This window comes from Homo sapiens, chromosome 9, assembly GCF_000001405.40.
Source record: "Homo sapiens chromosome 9, GRCh38.p14 Primary Assembly".
Taxonomy (NCBI): Eukaryota; Metazoa; Chordata; class Mammalia; order Primates; family Hominidae; genus Homo; species Homo sapiens.
Window position 1 is genome coordinate 34,951,762 of NC_000009.12, and position 19,154 is coordinate 34,970,915.

General features: G+C 43.8%; 1 protein-coding gene across 16 annotated transcripts in view, besides 2 other annotated features; it reads left to right on the forward strand.

Annotated features, from left to right (window-relative positions):
* Nucleotides 1–19,154, forward strand: part of PHF24 (PHD finger protein 24) — a 316,938-nt gene that overhangs the window by 286,155 nt on the left and 11,629 nt on the right. For 6 of the 16 annotated variants that reach the window (NR_136308.2, NM_001347983.2, NM_015297.3 and 3 more), the window contains exon 1: nt 6,524–6,640. The exons of 6 other annotated variants lie outside the window; for them this stretch is intronic. The gene's annotated coding sequence lies outside the window, so the exon portion shown is untranslated. Of the gene's footprint in view, nt 1–5,725; nt 5,937–6,523; nt 6,641–19,154 lie in introns of those variants that run through there. 4 more of the 16 variants (NR_136307.2, NM_001347982.1, NM_001304333.3 and 1 more) reach the window with 1 other exon arrangement.
* Nucleotides 5,083–5,222: an enhancer, noted in NCBI's record as "active region_28315". NCBI's record gives its function as "activates an Ori minimal core promoter by ATAC-STARR-seq in GM12878 lymphoblastoid cells {active_cell/tissue: GM12878}" and the evidence as "EXISTENCE:reporter gene assay evidence [ECO:0000049][PMID:35858748]".
* Nucleotides 6,572–6,651: a silencer, noted in NCBI's record as "silent region_19857". NCBI's record gives its function as "represses an Ori minimal core promoter by ATAC-STARR-seq in GM12878 lymphoblastoid cells {active_cell/tissue: GM12878}" and the evidence as "EXISTENCE:reporter gene assay evidence [ECO:0000049][PMID:35858748]".

Sequence of the window (19,154 nt, forward strand, 5' to 3'; positions counted from 1 at the left end):
AAATGAGGAAGAATCCACTTCAAAGCTCACTCAGATTGTTGGCAGAATCCATTTTGTTGTGTCTGTAAGACTGAAGGCTCTGGATTCTTGCTGGCTGTTGGCTGGAGGCCACCCTCAGCACCTTGAGGCTTTCTTAACCTAACAAAGAGCTTCTACAACAACAAAACTTAACAACCAACATCATATTTAATGTTGAAAAACTGAATGCTTTCCCCCTAAGATCGGATGTCTGCTTTCACCACTCCTATTCAACATCATGCTAGAAATACCAGACAGTGCAGTAAAGAAAGAAAAAGAAATAAAAAGCATAGAGATTGGCAAGTAATAATTAAAATAGTCTCTATTCACAGAGAACACAATTGTCTGCATGAAAACACATTTTGTCTGCATGAAAACACAATTGTCTGCATGAAAAATAATCTACACAAAAGCTCCTAGAACTAATATGTGAGTTTAGCAAGGTCACAGGATACAAGGGCAAAACAAAAACCAAGTATACGTCTATATACTAGCTATTTGGACAATTGGAAATTGAAACTAAAAACTGCACAAACGATGTGCAGGATCTATATACAGAAAACTATAAAACACCAATAAAAGAAATCATAGGTGACCTAACTAAATGGGGAGATATGCCGTATTCATGGATTTTAAGAGTCAACATTAAGATGACAGTTTTTTCCCAAACTAAAGATTTAGCGCAGTGCCAATTAAAATGCCACCAGGATTTTTTAATACAAATCAAAAAGCTAATTCTAAATTTTATATCCAAAGGCAAAGGAACTAGAATACCCAAAATTATTTCAAAAAAGAAGAACAAAGAGGACTCACACTACTGATTTTAAGACTTACTAAAAAGCTATACTAATGAAGATGACAATGTAGTATGGGCAAAAGGATAGAGACATAGATCAACACAGCAGAATAGAGAGTCCAGGAATAGACCCACACAAAAATTGCCAATTTATTTTTTAACAACTTTATTGAAGTAGAATTGCCATACAAAGAACTACACATATTTAATATATACTCTTTGATGAATTTGGACATATGCAAATACCTGTGATCATGAACAACTGATATCCAAAAAAGGCAGAGAGGCCACTCAATGAAGAAAGTCTTTTCAACAAAGTGTGCTAAAACAACTGGACATCCATATACAAAATCAGGAATTTCAATCTATACCTCATACCTTACACAAAAATTAATTAAAAATAGATCATAAACCTAAGTGTAAATAATAAAAGTATAAACTTCATTTCTCCCTAAAAGGGCAAAATCTTTTGTGATCATGGGTTGGGCAAAGAGTTCTCAGATGTGACACTGAGGGCACAACCCATAAAAGACAGGATGGATAAACTGGACTTCATCAAATTAAAAACTTTGCTCTGCAAAAGACACGGTCAAGAGAATGAAAGGACAAACTACACATTGGAAGCAAATTTTTGTAAAACACATAGTTCACTGCAGCCTCGAACTCCTGAGCTCAAACAATCCTCCACCTCAGCCTCCTGAGTAGCTAGGCATGTGCCACTAGTCCTGGCTAATTTTTCTTTTTTATCTTTTATTGTAGAGACAGGGGTCTTGCTATGTTGACCAGTCTGGTCTCAAACTCTTGGCCTCAAATGATCCTCTGAAGGCACTGGGATTATAGGTGTGAGTCACCGCATCCAGCCTTATACTCAGGATTTTTAAGTGCCAATCCTAATAACAAAGAAGCCCAGGGCTTGTGTTTCTTTGGTAGGACAGGTATTAAGGGATTGTTGCAGTGAAGATACAAGCTCTGATTAGATGTCAACACCATTTTAGTATTGTTTACTGCACCAGGAGATTCCAATTTAGTCCCAGATTCTTCATCTACAGTTTGGTGACTCTATTTCAACCCTATTAAGATCCCTTTAGGCTAGGTGTGGCGGTTCACACCTGTAATCTCGGTGCTTTGAGAGGCCAAGGTGGGAAGATCAGTTGAGGCCAGGAGTTTGAGATCAGCCTGGGCAACAGTGAGACCCCCATCTCTACAAAAAATATATATATGTTTTTTTAAATAGCCAGGTATGATGTCTACTCAAGAGCCTGAGGCGAGAGGATAGCTTGAGCCTGGGAGGTCAAGGCTGCAGTGAGCTGTGATTGCGCCTCTCCACTCCAGCCTGGACAACAGAGCAAGACCCTGTCTCTTAAAACAAACAAACAACGACAACAACAAAAACCCTTTGGTTGTAAGCAATGGAAACCCACAGGCTGGCTGAAGCATTCAAAGGGATAGAAGAGATGGGCACGGTGTCTCACATCTGTAATCCCAACACTTAGGGAGGCAGAGGCAGGAGGATAGCATGAGCCCAGGAGTTTGAGACCTGCCTGGGCAACATAGCAAGACTCTTTTCTCAAAAAACAAACAAACACACACACACACACAAAGGATGGAAGGATCAGAAGAACCAAGACGTAGGAAGAGCAGGGACCCACAGCAGCAGTGGGTAGGTCTTTACTTCAGGACACACTGTCACTAATGTACGTACCACAATTCTCAGGCTCTTTGCTTCTGTGTTTGGAGTTTCAAGTTCCTGAGTGAGTATAATTGCACCAACTTTGGTTGGGTGTCTACCTCTGGATCAATTAGCGGCAGCCAAGGGATGAATGCCCTAAATCTGAGAAGGCCACTGGGGCTTTGTCCTTGTGCACTGAAGCCATTCACAACAAAGGGGGAATTGTGTGCTAGGCAGTGGCCCCAAGAGATGTGTATTGCAAGCAAAAAGGTTGCACAGATTCTCTTCTACATGAGCTCACCATCAGAATATGAGGACAACAGAGAGTTTGGTGGCATTCTGATTTCCCCCCACAGTCTCTTTAATATCCCAACAGGTTTTTGTCTAAGGCCTAAGAGAAATTAGTCTCATCTTCATGTTTATACTTTTACAATCTGTTTACAGACAAAAGAGCATACACACTCTCATTCAGTCCTTTATCTAAAAGATAATACTCTAAATGCTTAGGATGGTCCTTAAGATGTTACTACTCTGCTCAAAAACTTATAAGGAAAAAAACACATATAGTGCATTGCACTCCAGCCTGCATGACAGAGCAAGACCCTGTCTCAAAAAGCAAAAACAAAAACTTATAGAGGCTCTCTATTATCTACCATATTAAAACATCTAAGAATTTAGTTACTTATCAAATAGCCTTCCCTTCCTTTCCCAACTCCTTTTTTATTACATATTAGTTGAGCATACAATATTCTCTTTAAGTATTATTTTTTAACATAATTTTACACGACAGCACAGCTTCGCTGCTGGAGGTGAAAGATTGTTTCTTGCTATGTTGCCCAGGCTGGTCTCAAACTCCTGGGCTCAAGTGACCCTCTCACCTCGCTCTCATAAAGTGCAAGGATTACAGGTGTGAGCCACCATACCCAGCCAGAACAATATTCTCTACTTTCTAGACATTAACATGGTGGTAACCGTATTTGTCAATCTTATAAGCCCAAAAACTTATGGTCATAAATATCTGAACTCAGACCACCTCAGAATATTTTTGGCATATGTTTGCCATAGCCAAGAATATGCAAAAAAAAAAGAAAAGAAAGTTGAAAACAGTCCCTACCTTGTAAAGACAGTTAAGAGTGGTTGGTACAGGCTAGGGCCAGCCGCAAGTGGCTCACCTGTAATCCCAGCACTTTGGGAAGTCGAGGCAGGGAGATCACCTGAGATCAGGAGTTCAAGACCAGCCTGGCCAACATGGCGAAACCCCGTCTCTACCAAAAATCCAAAAATTAGCCAGGTGTGGTGGCACATGCCTGTAATCCTAGCTATTCGGGAGGCTGAAGCAGGAGAATCGCTTGAACCTGGGAGGCGGAGGTTGCAGTGAGCCGAGATCAAGCCACTGCACTCCAGCCTGGGCAACAGAATGAGACTCTGTCTCAAAAAAAAGAGTGGTACAGGCTGCTCTCTAGCAACCCTTTCACCTTGTCAGAGTCCCAGCTGCCCCCAGACCAACCTTATTCAATCCCACCTTGCTTTTTCTTTTGCTATTCCTTTGACCTTGAAAATCTTATCTTGTGCATAATTCTGTGTCCTCCACTTGCATAAACTACCTCCAAAAAGTTTGCACTTTCTAACCTCTCCATTCTCTGAACAATAACGTAGTAAAAGCTGTCTCTCCTCAACATGAGAAAAACTGCATGTAATTAAAAAATGAAATTGATAAATTTTGATATGACTTTTAATGTTTTAATACCAACAATAATTTAAATGGTCATTATGCATTCCTTAACCCAAGTACCTCCCTTCATAAAGTAATCTGTCTCTCCCACCTTGGAACTTCCATTGTATTTCATTCCTCTATTGCGCACACTGATTTTCTCTTTTGTATTATGATTATGGTTCTCTGTCAATGCTTGTCCTCTATGAGATTATAGTTCTTTGAGGGAAAGTACTGTGTCTTACTCTTATTTGCACCCTTTCTAGTTCTCAGCACAATGCCTGGCATTGTACAGATACACAATGTACTTTTGTGTGTGTGTGTGACGGAGTTTCGCTCTGTCACCCAGGCTGGAATGCAGTGGTGCGATCTTGGCTCACTGCAACCTCTGCCTCCTGGATTCAAGAGATTCTCCTGCCTCAGCCTCCCGAGTAGCTGGGACCACAGGCGCGTGCCACTGCACCTGGCTAATTGTTGTGTTTTTAGTAGAGGTGGGGTTTCACTATGTTGGCCAGGCTGGTCTCGACCTCAGGTGACTCACCTGCCTCGGCCTCCCAAAGTGCTGGAATTACAGGCGTGAGCCACCACGCCTGGCCACAATATAAATTTTTTTGAATGAAGGAAGGAATTAACCGACAGAGATTTATATGATGATGTTACAACCTCCTTTTCCATATAAGCCCATCAGACAGCCTAGAAATAAAACACTTACTAAAAACAGTTCAGAGAAGTCTATCTGTGAAACTGTCGGTATGATGTAATTCTAAAGAAAGTTAGGGGGGGACCCCCAGACTATATGGAAGGCTCAGTCTGCTTTTTAGTGCTAGTTTCACAACAAGCAAAATAACCATAGTGTCTCTTGAGAAATAAGCACTAATTTTAGAACTAATAAGTACTAATTTTAGAACTCCATATATTAATGGTTTATAGCCTCTCCTTTCTCAGTGGCAGGACTGAGAAATAGGAGCTTGCGGTATGAAATCAGAATACCTGAATTTCAGTCTCACCTCCATCACATATTAGCCATGTGACCTTGGGCGAGTTGTTTAACCTCTCTTTGCCTCAGTTTCATCACTGGCAAAATGTCGAAACTAACAGTAGACTCCCTCAAAGGGATGGTGTGAAAATTAATGACAACATATTTAAACCATTTAGAATAGTACCTGGCACTTCGTGTTTTAAAGTGATAGAAATATACCATACTTGCCTTATATCCTCTATTGGTAAATTCCATGTTAAGGGCAAAATTTCTTTTTTATATCGCACCAGGGTACCTAGCACAGTATGTAACAAATACTAGACGCTCAAAAAAATGACATGCATTATATTTGAGGTAAATAAATTGAATGCACAAGAAAATAAAGGTATTTTAAAAATGTAAGTGCAATTAATATAAATTAAAGGGCTCTCGACATATCATTTGCATATCTTCAATTTTTCCTTATAATTAGTTGCTGGCTATCTTACGATTTTATCTTTTTCTTGCCCTCTTCAAAGCATGTAGTTTGGTGTAATGCACATTATAGCCCTCAGAATTGCTGGCCTTCTGACAAGCTAGCTGTTTGGATATTGTGAGGGATGAGGTTGCTGCAGCAAAAAGTGGGTTACACGACAGCACAGCCTCGCTGCTGGAGATGAAAAACCAATAATCCCAGAAAACAGCGCATAGGGTAGGCTGGGCCAGCCGAGGATTATGTGAAGGTTCGTTGGGACCCTCCGGAGGCCAGTGGGGTACTGCAAAGGTGAGTGCCCCAGTGCCAGGGGTCGTGAGCCCGGAGCCCTGCGGGGGACGGCTGGTAGGCCCTGCTGGATGAGTCATTCTCCCCACCCCGGGCACGTGCTGGTGGCGGCATCCACCCGGACCCCGCCTTCCCCCCACCCAACCCCCGGCGCGGAACGCGAGCGGTGAGCGGCCCCAGCGCCCCCAAGGCGCCCCCTCCGGGCCGCCTCCTCCGGGCGGGCACTGTCCTTGCCGCAGTCGGCCGCTGGCGCAGTCCCCGCGCCGCAGTGCCGGGCGCTCGTGGGGGGCGCCCACGGGCACCTGGGCCGTCTGCTCATCGGAGCCGTCCGCCGTCCTCCCGCATTCCCACGGCGCCCCACGCCCGCGCGCCCGTCGCCGGTCACCCGCCGCCCGCGGAGCCGCGAGGGCGTCTCCTGGAGGCGCAAGAGGACTGGGCGGGGCGGGGCGCGCCCACCGGCCGGCCCAGGGCACCTCGCGCGGGTGCACACGCCGCAGCCCCCCGGGGCGGGTGGGTGTGCTCCGGCCGCGCGCGCCGCCGCCGCCGCCGCCGCCGCCGCCGCCTCCTCAGCCTGCCGCTCCGCCCGCGCCGCCTGCTGCCGGCGCTCGGCCCAGCACGCCGGCTCTCGGGCTGCCGTGGGCTGCGCGGGGCCCGCGGTGTGTAGAGTCCGCCGCCCCGGAGCCGCGTCCCGCACCCGGACGGTCCCGGTAAGCGGGGGCGGGGGCGGCGGGGACCGGGCCGTCACCTGAGGGGCGGGTCTGCGGCCGCGGACAGTCCTCCGGGACTCTGAGGTGCTTGTGTGGGAGCCGCCTCCAAGGTGGCCCCCCTGTGTCATTGGATGAACCCCAAGTAGCTGCTGCCTCTACGCCTTGGGGGAGTCCCTGAGGTGCTGTGGGGAGCCGCCCCCATAAAGACCCCCTGTGGGAATGGACTCCCGCGGCGCTGTCTGCATTTGCTGCCATAGGGAGCCCCAGCGTGGAGGGGACTGGCCCCAGAGAGCCCTTCTGTGTCACTGTGGGAGCAGGCACAAGGGTGGTCTCTGGAGCTGGCTCAATGGAAGACCACCTGGGAACATAGGGGAGCCGCAGGAACCTCGAGGTGGTGGAGCCCCCAGAGGGCTCCCTAGAAAAGGAGGACCTGAGACTGTGCCCTAGAACTGTGGGAAGCAACCTCTGACTGGGGAGGGGGATCCTCCCATGGGATCCATGAGTGACTTCCCACGGCTCCAAGGACTTTGGCCTCCACCGGGATCCCTGTAGGGTTCCATGTGCCCTTACTTGTATCCCCACACCGTGGCCCAGAGGTGGGGGCCTTCTAGGGCTGCAGCCTCTTTCCATTCCTCCTCTTTCCCCATTCGGATTTTTCTTCTCCATGGTAGCCCAGTTGCTCCACGCTGCATTTTAGTGGAGACAGAAACTGCTGCGAGAGCACAGGGCCCTAAGCCGAGGATGAGGACCAGTGAGGCCTCTAAAGCAAAGATAGGAGATTTGAGCCCCTAGGTTTGACCGTGCGGAAGGAAGCAGTAAGATCAGGTGGAATAACTGACTTTGGCAGGTCCTGGAGGGAAAGGCCTTTGAAGGAAGGAATAAAGGATGTATGGGATTGTTGAGCACCAGTACGCTAGGCAGTATACTAGGTATGTTTAAACATCTCATATAACTCTTACAACAGCTTTGTGAAATTATCCCCTTTTAAACATTGAGACTCAGAGAGGTTTAGCAATTTGCCCAAGGTCACAAAGCTGATGAAAAACATAATCATAAAATGTTTTTCAAATTTTATTTGGGAAAAAGTACTAAGGAGCAGCAGAAGAAAGAATAGATATTTGTTAATAAGTTGCATTAAGGTGCCTGCCGAGCATAGGGTTTTGCAGTGGTACAAGCTCAGTAAATGTGATGATTAAATAAGTGGATGAGGACAGTTTAACTGGCCATGAGATTGCTGCAGGAACTGATTTCCACAGAATCCCCAGATTTCAGGGTGTGGCTTCCTTCACTGGCAGTCCCACTGTCATGATGCCTTGGGGTGGCTCTGGACCTAATTGAGGCCTCTGGGTGTGGTTTTTGACAGGGCTTTCTCTGGGGATCTAGGGGGACCCTTCTGCGGATGGAGTGTCCCAAGACCACCCTACCTGCTACCGAATACTCGAAGGAGAGAAAGGAGAGACAGGATCACTTTTAGGAAGCACGATCCACACTGTCCTTGTGACCCTCTGACTACATGCACCGGTGGACAATGGTCCACAGATAGCACTCAGGACACTTTTGCCCAAGAGTGCCTCTGCATGAGGAGGAGGAGGACAGGAAAGGTGCAGAGCCAAGGAAGGCTCACTGGGAGTCTGTTAGGGGGAGCGCAAAGGGTCTGCGCCAGACATAGTGTTGCCTCCTCATCTCGCCCCCTCGTTGTTTTCATTCTAGCTGAATCCCAAGAGTTCAACTTTGAGCTCCAAGGATGGATTCTGGTTTCTTGTCCAAAAACGGAGTGGTGAGAGGGCCAAGCAATGATATTCATTAGAGCCATTCTGGAAGGGTTTTCCTGCTCCCCTTCCCTGCTTTCTTCCACACAGTCAAACCTAGTTAAATCCTCCTTGAACAGAAGTGGCTTCCTTTGGCTCCTGGAATTACATAGTGAGGAGAGAGACCAAGCTAGTGGGAAAACAGAACAACATAGTTTACCAGTTGTTAGATTTTTTTTCTTTTAACTCAGTGATGCTACCTTGCGCGCAACTCAGTGGAGTAAAGCCCGACAAAGGTTTTTGTTGGTTAGGACCTCCCCATTGTAAAGTTGTTTATAATCCCCCTTTCAGTTCAAACCCATCTGATCAGCTTAACAGATCAGAATAAATAGGTAGGCATATATTTAAAGAAAGTCAGAAGGACCAAACCTGAAGATATGATCTTTGTTCCAGATCATTGATTTGTCATTGAGGTTTTATTCCTAAATTGGTCTTTTGTTGAGGGTGCTTATTATCACACCCACTCATGACCCTGGAAAAATCACTAAATGGATCCAGGCTCTCCCCTAATCTTGGACCTTGGATATCAGCTTCCCCATGTCCAGCATTGGGTAAAATTAAGATTTCAAAAATCCTAAGAATACAGCCTAACTCTCCCTAGTCACAGCATGAGTCTGCAAATCAAATCATTCCAGAATGTGCACGAAAGATGTCACCAGGTGGCCTTAACCTTCTCAAAAATGCTCTCTCCAAAGGGAAATAAAAGGGGAGAGAACGGCTCACCCAGTTTCATTTGAGCTTACCCAAATGTGTCTGGATTTTACTGTCTGGATTTCTCAACCTTTGATCTTTCACATATTCTCCAATCTTCTAACATTGTCTTCTTCTAACATTTGCCATTCCTTTCCTTCAACATGGATAGTAAGACCTCCCCAGGCCCATTTCCCCGACTCCTTGCAATTTTTTCCACTACACCTGTTCCTAAGTGAATCACATTCATGCAAATAGTTTCCCTTCTCTTTAGCTACAGAATCTATTATCTTTTAGTCCCACACGCTTCTCTCCAGCAGTGCTGCTTGGCTTCTGCTATCTTCATGTCCCAAATTGATTTATTCATTTCTGATGGGAATATCATTATCCACTCCACCCCTCAATCTTAATGACCAAATTCTGACAGGAATTGCTTGCCAGCTTTGGACCAAGAAACCAAGACCATCAGTGTCCAGCTGAAGACATGATTATTTTTTCCATTAGCACATCCCCCTCCATTCTCCCCACTCTTCCAGCAATCCCCTCAGAGACTCACTTACATTTACTAAGTGCTACTTACTTGCCAGGCACTATGCTAGATAAATATGAGAGTTTCTTGCCCTTGAGGAGTTCACATAGAATCAGTCTGCATTTCTCTAATCATTCACTATAAAGAGTAGGAAAAGTAAGGGGGAAATTATGGCATTACAGAATATCCACAGGAACCAATATAGAGTATGCCTTTTCCCAAGCATCACTGAAACTCAGCTGCTGTGCTATGCCTCCTCTGGCAGCCACATTCAGCCCTCCTGCCAGTGCCCTGCCAAAATTACTTTTGCCCATATACTCTGAGTGTAAACTGACCACATTTTTGCCTTCCTTATGATAGTAATGACAGAACCTTTTATTTAGATAGCATGTTACAGTTTATGAAGCCCTTTTAGATATATGTTGGCTGTTTGGTTTTGAGAAATGCTTCATCTTACTGGGGTCCTCTCACTGAAGCAGAGCTGTGTGGGCTAATTGGCTCTCTCTCTTTTTGTATGTTTGTTTTTTTGAGGCTTAGGAGTCTCCCAGAGGGAAAGCCCCAGTGATTCACTACAGTCACCACCTACGAGCTCTTAGGTTGCGAAGGAGTTTCCTGTTGGGTCCTAAGGCCAAACAATGCACTCACTGGTCAGCGCTGGAACTTATCAGGGCAGTCCCTCTTCCTGGCCTCAGCAAATCCAATTCTCTGGGATTTTCTTCCTCCTTGAAACTCAAATACATATTCTAACAAATATTTTAAGCATACTATCTCAAACCAGTTCTTTGGGCTGATGCTAATTCTTATGTGAAGACACGTTTCCTTGCCTATTTCTATCTAGCCCCCAGGCTGGCTTCATACCATCTAAGTCATGATGGAGTCCCCATATAGCTCCATGCCTTGGCATGTGCTGTTACCTCTTCCTGGAATGCTTTTTTTTTTTTTCCTTATCCACTGATGTAACTCCTACTCATATTCAAAATTTAGCTCAAGCAACACCTTTTTTTTTTCAATCCTACACTTATGCCCCCTGCACACGCACATACTCACTGCATTCTCACAGGCTGAATGAGCTTCCATTTGTTCATTCTACCATCAGTTATTAAGCACCTGATTTGTGCCTGACGCATAGTAGGCTGTACTCGGCGAAAGTTTGCAGAATCAACAGAGAAGTAAATGGTGATAATTAAGGTGTAATAATTGCATTACATGGGGCTGAATCTGTGTTTCAGGGAACCAGAGCAGAAAACAGGGAGTGCCTCTCCATCTTGCTGAAAAGCTCTGCTTGCTAAGTGCAGTCTCACCAGCCAATCACTGATGGTGTGATGTTCCTTAACTGTTGCTCTGCCTCTGTGGGAAGTCAGCACTGTGGCTTTTAATGAAGACTCAGGCCCTAAGAGGCTAAGCTCATGCCATAATTTTGCTCTCATCTATATTAGAACTTTGTGAGCTTTCAGTAAATATTAAACAGCAGCAGGATGCCTTGTAGTCTTGAGCTGAGGCCAGAAAGACAGTTTTTCTGTCTAGCCTTTCTGTTCCTTGGAAACCCCAGAAAAGCCCCATGTAGTTGTGACTGTCTCATCCTGAATAAACAGGCTGAATGAAGAGAGGTGGGGAGGTACCAGGTAGACCTTTCAGGGTCTACAAACATGAATACTAAAATTAGTTTCTAGGCTACTGCCAGGTGACAAAATGTCTGAGTAGGAACAGGCTCCAAGAGCACTGTAGTGAGGCACTGGAATTTCCTAAAGCAACAGCCAGTCACTGGAGAACAATCGGACCCCTCGGGGCTTGGATTTCCTCAAAGACCCGCACGAGAACTCTTTTTGATGGTTTTTTTTTTTTTTTTTTTGCTTAAAATCTTGAGGTTGATGCTGATGTTCACAGTAAGCTCAGAGTCTGTGCTATGCATTCAGCGTTTGTTTTGTTTTTTTACAGACCCTGGTTGTGTTGATTTTCCACACTCTTGCAGCTGGTCACCTTCTGTGTTAGGCATATGGCTTTTCCTAAGGCTCTCAGCCCTTTGGGCACATGCTTCCAGGAGCCAATTGTTGACCACCTTGAAATTTTTCACTTGTATGTGCAGATACTGCTCGTGCTAAATTTCAAACCCAGGACAAAGGAAGTGCATTTTCACACTTTCTACTTGTGTCCTTAAGGCAACTGCCCTCCTGTGGGCCTCACCATAGTCCACAGGACACAGCATAAATGCAGGGGACTGTTGACTTTGGTAATACTGGCTTCTCTTTTCTTACCATTGTGATTGTAGAAACCGGCTAAATTGCAGAATTTCTTAACTCTCCTCTGTAGTCAGAGAGAAATCATCCTCGTGTTCTCATCCCTGCTAGCCCTGACTCACTGTCCAGGTGCCACCTCTTGGGAAGTAGAGTAGATGTGATGATGTGAGCTGGTGACTGCATAGTTTCTAGAATTGAGTTTTGGAGATTTGGTCTCATTAGTCTCTGGCCAATTTGATAAAGAGAAAAGACACTATGATCTTAAATAAATTGTTTATGTTGCCCAGTCATCTCTGCATCATTCATTCAACAAAGATTTAAGAGGCTAAAACCCTTAATGCTTAATGGAGATGATCAAACCTGTATACAAAAGACACTTTAATTCACATGCTCTGTGGAAGTCAGTAAGAACCATCTCTACTTTTCTCCCTCCTGATCTCAGTGAAACACAGATTCCTTTACTCCACTTGCTCAACCTATTCTCTTTGGTTGTCTTTCCCTTTCCCCTCACTCAGAGGTTTTCTTTGCCTTGTTCCTTCCTAGGGAAGCCCTAACCTCCAGGCAGCCACTTTTACTTGCTTGTGAGCCTTTTAAATAGCCTCCATCCCCATACCAAGAATCAGATTGAACCAGCTACTCGGGAGGCTGAGGCAGGAGAATCACTTGAGCCCAGGAGTTTGAGGCCAGCCTGGGTAACATAGTGAGACCCTAGAACCACCCTCCATCTGAAAACATAAATTTTAAGAAGAGAAAATCAGTAAATGTACTTTACATTTAACAGGCTGCATGAGGAAACTCCTGCCTATTAGGAGTGTTGCCCTTCAGGCTCTCCACAGCTCTGAATCTTTATACAGAGTGCTGGGAAATAGAGGCTCCCCAGCTTCCTTCCCCTTCCTTATTTCTCTATCAGCTCCTGCTCCAGAGCAGCCCCTCCTCCTCTTACTCCCACCACTTTGCCCTTATTAATAATCCCGCTGAATTCTAAGCAGGTGCTCTGCAGAAAATGGGTGTGTCTTGCAAACATTACAAGCTGCCCACAAATGTCTTACTGCCTGACAAACACATCTAGACATGCTTCTCTTACCCAAGACAGATTCTACTTGTTGCTGTTTTCATTTCTTCCAGTTCATGAAGTCAGACGGCCCTATTCCACCTTCTTGTCCCGCTGTTATATACCATCACCTGCTCCTCTCCCCTGAGTTTTTTTCCAGGCCTTCCCTAGATACCACAAATTCCCTGACAGCCACATAATTCTTGGGACAATATCTTTTTGGCCTCTTTTCGTCATTTTTAGGGAGGCAGAAACCCCCAGTCCCACCCACCAGCGAAAGAAGTAATCATTAGGTATAATTTGTGGGATCTTTGCAACTTGATTTCCTTTTAACTCTCTCTTTTTCCTAGGACTTATTCCAGCACAGGAGAGGCCAGGTTTTTATCCACAAGCATTTGTTTTTACCTGGCACCAATCACTACCACTTGTTTCTCTAAAAATTTGAGCTGATTTTGTTAAGTTCTCAAACATCCCAGGTGCACTTTTTGGATATTTCAGCACACACACTTTTAATCAAAGTGTCTTTTGTATACAGTTTTGATCCTCTCCATTAAGTATTAAGAGTTTTAGACTCGCTTTTAAAGCTGAATTCTGTTGTGTCTTCACAGTTTACTGTCAAAGTCAAAGTCATGTCAATTCAAAATGACTTGATGGTCTTGTTTGGATTTTGATGGTTTACTGTGAATAGTTCTACTTTGCATTTCTGCCCTTACAGGCATAAAATGGTCTACAAGATTGAACCATCTCAGCTAAAAGGAATAGCAGTGCTCCAAGAGCCTGTGCTTAGGACTGGAAAGCGTTTGTTTTTATGTTTGTTTTGCTAGTAGATGTCAGCTTCAGTCTTCATAGAAATTGCTTTAAGGATAAACTCCCAAAACCATTGCAATGACATAGTTGACCATGGAGATAGCTTCATAGCTATTCTTGGTATCCTTATAAAGAATAATGGTATCCTTACAGTTAATAATGGGTTGTAGCGGATCTACAGTGTGTTGGGAGGTGTCTGTGATTAATTTGATGATTCTCTGTTAATGAGTAAGTTCATTTATAGAGTAACTTCCTAACTGGCTGGTCTTTGTTCAATAACTTTTATTAAAGCATCTGAAAAAGCCAAAAACAAAGGCATACCATTGGTTTTCCTCTAATGAATCGTTCTTGAAAATGTGAATTTAGTATTTTTTTTCCAGATCTCCAAATAAGTGTTTCTCAACTATTTTTTTCCAGTGTTTATCAGACCTTCTGATAAACATAAAAGTCTCTTGACTGTTCCCTAAAACTTGTGATATAACTCCTGGGAGGAGGCTGCCTCCAACTATTTGGAGAGTTAGTACCTTCCGTATAGCCCTAAGAACAAAGAAGATACTGTCAAACTCACTGTTTTGTAGTCTATGTCACACACACAAAAAAAGCAGAGATGGTTTTTAATACTTGTTTTCCAAATATAAATACATAATTGATAAGCTCTTGAAACTCACTTATTTCTCCCCTCCTCCCGGAGTTTCTGATATACACCTCCCACCTGCCACAGGATCCAGCCAATTCACCACTTGAGAATCATTGCTCTGGTTGTTGTGTTTAAAAAATTAAATCAAGCTGGGCACTCTGGCTGGAACCTATAATCCTAGCTACTTGGGAGGCTGAGGCAGGGAATCACATGAGCCCCAGAGTTATCAACAAGTCTGGGCAACATACCAAGACCCTGTCTCTTTAAAAATTTTTCAAAAATTAGCACGACCTGTAGCCCCAGCTATGTGAGAGGATTGCTTGAAATTTTTCAAAAATTATCAATCATGACCTGTAGTCCCAGCTATGTGAGAGGATTGCTTGAGTGCAGGAGTTCGAGACTAGCCTGGGTAATATGGCGAGACCCCCCCCCTCGCCCCATCTCAAAATAAATAATTAAATCATTTTTTCTCTTTTTTAATAGCATGAATATATCACAAGTTATTCAGTAATTTCCCTATTGAGGTTGTTTCCACCTTTTTTCTTTTTTAAGAGACAGGGTCTCACTGTGTTGCCCAGGTTTCAGTGTAGTGGCTATTCACAGGCACAGTCATGGCACACTACAGACCCAAACTCCTGGTCTCAAGCAATCCTCATGCTTCAGCCTCCCGAGTAGCTGGGATTATAGGAGCAAATCACCATGCCCAATTTCTTTCCATCTTTTTAATCACTGTAAAAAGAATGCTCCAATCAATCATTTTTTTTTAATGTGATGAGGTATTGCTATGTTGGCCAGGCTGGTTTTGAATTCCTGGGCTCAAGCAGTTCTCCCACCTCAGCTGCCCACGTAGCTGGGATTACAGGCATGTGCCACTATGCCTAGCTAAATTTTTTTTTTTTACATATACCCACAGGTGAAAGAGCATCAGCCTCTTGGATACAATAGGTTTTCTTTAGTCAGAGGTATATTAGTAGCTGTCCATCTCTGGTGGATCTTCCAACCACACAGACTCCTAAGAGAAGCTTGAATAAACTGTTCATCTTTCACCACATCAGTTAAGGGCAGCACTTTCCTTATATCCTTGTCTTTTAGAGGTGCGTTCTTCAAATTGCAGATTTAAATCCATTAGTAGGTCATGAAATCATTTCAGAGAGTCACTATCAGGGTTGTTTTAATGAAATAGGATAGAAAATATCAGGGAGCATCACATGTAGTAAAAGTATGATTGTTCCACAAAATTTTGACTTCAGTTGCAGATCTATAAACACATGTGTCTACAGGGTTATCACAAAAAATATATTTCTTACTCTGAGCCACAGTTGAAAGTTTTGAGAAACATGCCTTGGGGTTTCTGAGGAAAACCTAGTGGTCTGGAAAATGTAATTGCTCATAATAAAAATATGCTCAAATAAAAATATGAAGAATTATCTGTCAGTTTTGTATTTTCTCTCTTGGGGTACCTCTGTCACTGTAAGTTGGGGAGTTGCATCCCACCCAGCCATCGAACACGCTGTTGCCCATGAGGCATTTGAGCAGCATCTGGGGACTACAGGGCCAGCCCTGTCACTTCAAGAACCCACTGGGTCCAAAGCCTCAGCAAAAAATTTAACATATACATACTCTTCTCTCCATCCCCACCCCACCCTGGCTAGATTCCCTCATTAGATCATATGAACTTTTAAAAGAAGATGAAAAACAACATGAGCATTCTAAATGCTTCAGACTATATGTTCCAAATACACTCATTAACAGACAGAGAACTAAAGCCCAAAGCAACCAGCAACAGGTTCTGAATCATAGAACAGGGGACCCAAAACAAAAACAAGTCATCAAGTTGCCAACCCTAGGATTTGTTTTATTATCTAATTAATGTGCAATGTGGGAGAATTGGAAAATATAGATTACAAAAAGATTAAAAGTACATACAGTACAAAAATTAGATCATAACATGAGCATTTTTGTAACTTGCTATTTTTGTTAATATGTTTGCATATTTTGAGTATCTTTCCCACCAATAAATATACTTCTACCTCAGTGTTTTCCGTGTTGTTTAGTCTTTCGTGGTACGTAATTTATTTCCCTATTGCTTAATATTTGTTTCCAGCTAATGAAAAAAAGATTTCTTAATCACAATTTTTTATGAATTTATTTGGGGATTAAGATATTTTCATTTTAATTACAATTTATTCTTAGTTGTCCACTGAGGCATGAATACCCTAAATGATTTCCTGAATGTGCTCAATAAATCTTTCTTCAATAAATCTCCTGTGCCACTGCCCTTTAAGGCAGTATTAAGTATTTAAAGTCAATGTTCCTTCGTCACATACTTCAGTTTTACAAACAAATTTATAAATGGAGTCGGGGAGGTGGTTCTTTCCTTTCCTATCAATCAGTTTATAAATTCAAGAATATGAATTTCCTTGGTAGTAGTAGTGGCAAGGCAAGCACGTGAGCAGTGTAGGAGTTCGCACCACTGTGGCACATACAAGCAGTGTTTCCGAAAAGAAGATGGGGCTGTCATCAGATAGTACATGTATTAAGGTTTCATTTTTAAAAGTAAAAGGAATTCTCCACAATTAATTAGCTAATTGGAAAATGTTTATTAAGAATCTATTCTGTTAGATGCTTAATAGACAGACACATTGCTAGGCAGTGGAGATAAGTACTGTGTGGGATAAAACAGTCTAATAGGGGAAACTGACATTGATCAGTAATCATCCTATTGAATATGTAATGATGAAGGTAAGTGCCCAGAGCAGAAGGGCATGGTGCTGTGAGCACTCCGACCTGGACTGGAGTCAGCAGTGACTTCCCCAAGGAAATGAGACTTGAGCCTTAGCTCTGATAGACAAATAGGCACTAGTCAGGTGGGGAGGAATGTTCAAACTTCCCCAAAACAGAGGGAGTATAGCAAATAAAGACTGAAATAAGGCCATTATGGTTGGGACACAGAGTAAAGAAGGGAGGCCAGACCATGCAGGGCCTCACAGGCCACAGTAAAGAGACTGATTGTGGGGACTTCCTCCTGAAAGCTGAAGGAAGCACTGAAAGTTTTAATCAGGGGATAACTCGACACCTGAATGTCCCAGGGACATCTTTAATTCAACATATACAAAATCCAATTTAATTATCCCTCTTATTTCCAATTTCTGTAAGTGGCACTACCATTCTTCTAGTTAGTCCATTTAAAACTGCCCTCTTTCGCCAGGCACGGTGGCTCACGCCTGTAATCCCAGCACTTTAGGAGGCCGAGGTGGGCGGATCATGAGGTCAGGAGATCGAGACCATCCTGGCTAACACGGTGAAACCCCGTCTCTACTAAAAATACAAAAAATTAGCCGGGCATGGTGGCATGTGCCTGTAGTCCCAGCTACTTAGGAGGCTGAGGCAGGTGAATCACTTGAACTCAGGAGGCAGAGGTTGCAGTGAGCCAAGATCGTGCCACTGCACTCCAGCCTGGGCGACAGAGCGAGACTCTGTCTCAAAAAAAAAAAACCAAAAAAACAAAAAACTGCCCTCTTTCCCTTTATCCTTCATCCAATCAATTATCAATTTATTCCTAGATTTCCCTAATTCTATTTCCATGGTAACAGATACACTCAGTCAGTATTATTCCTGCTATCATCATTTCCATTTAAACCCTCTACCTCTTGTCTGGACTATGATATTAACAGTAACCTTCGAACTGGCCTTACTTCTCCTCCTACCCGCTGTCACCTTTTCCCCCAAACAAACTGAGCATAACCGCCTGTGCATCCTTCAAGGTCCACTTTGACCACCAGTAGTGTGGTGGGTCTCGCCTTCCTTTAGGTACTCTCAGCACTTTGACTTCTTTGGTTTCTAATATTAAGTAGCTTGAGTGGTGAGACTGTTCTCCTGTCTTCTGTTTCCTATGATGAGCAGTTAGTGCCTTGCACATAATACTGTTCAATAAGCCTTGATTAGAATGGATTGAGAGCAAGGCTAAAATGGACTCTGCTCCACTTTACTTAGAAAAAGAATTCCCCAGCTGACTTCCACTAAGTCTCCTCAGGCTAGGAAATAGCAGACCAGCTTTGCAATGTGCCCTGTCATGCCCTCACTGTCCAATGCTGTGCTCTGGTACCACAGAGAAGAGCAGGTCTGATGTTACTTTTTAACCTGTAAAGGATATGGACCTTTCTTGAACAGTTCAGAAGAATTAAAGCAGAAAATGTGGGAGTGACAGCGCAGCCTTAGAAGTGTGAGAGGTACCTTAGAGCTTTGTAATAGGCCAGTGTCTGTAATAGATAAGCAGACCCACAGAGAGGCACAGCTACTAATGAGAGGGGGCAAAGGAGTGTTTGTGTGACCTTGACCACATGGATACGGGTGGCAGAGTTTCCTTACTGACTAATTCAGGAGTCCTCTAAAACTAGGAGTTCATTGACTTAAAAAGTAGGCATTTGATGAGGATTAGCCCCAGATGGATTGTTCATGGCACCTACTGAAGGAGCTTTTCTTGTCTCAAAAGGCCTGAACTGTGTTGCTGCCAGCTTGCTTTAAGCCTTGAGTCTTCTTGCAGGGTAGAGGAGAAATTTGGATTCTGAAGTCTCCAACCATTTCGAAGTAGCAGAGGTGTAGGACCCCTGGACTAAATTGGTTTTAGGACAGGAAGGGAGACAGAGATATCATTTCATGCACGTAGAGTGCTTTCCAGTCTACGAAGCACCATTATGCCCATTTTCTTACATTATCCTTGTAACATCCCTGTGAAGTGGGCTGGGGAAATAGCCCTCA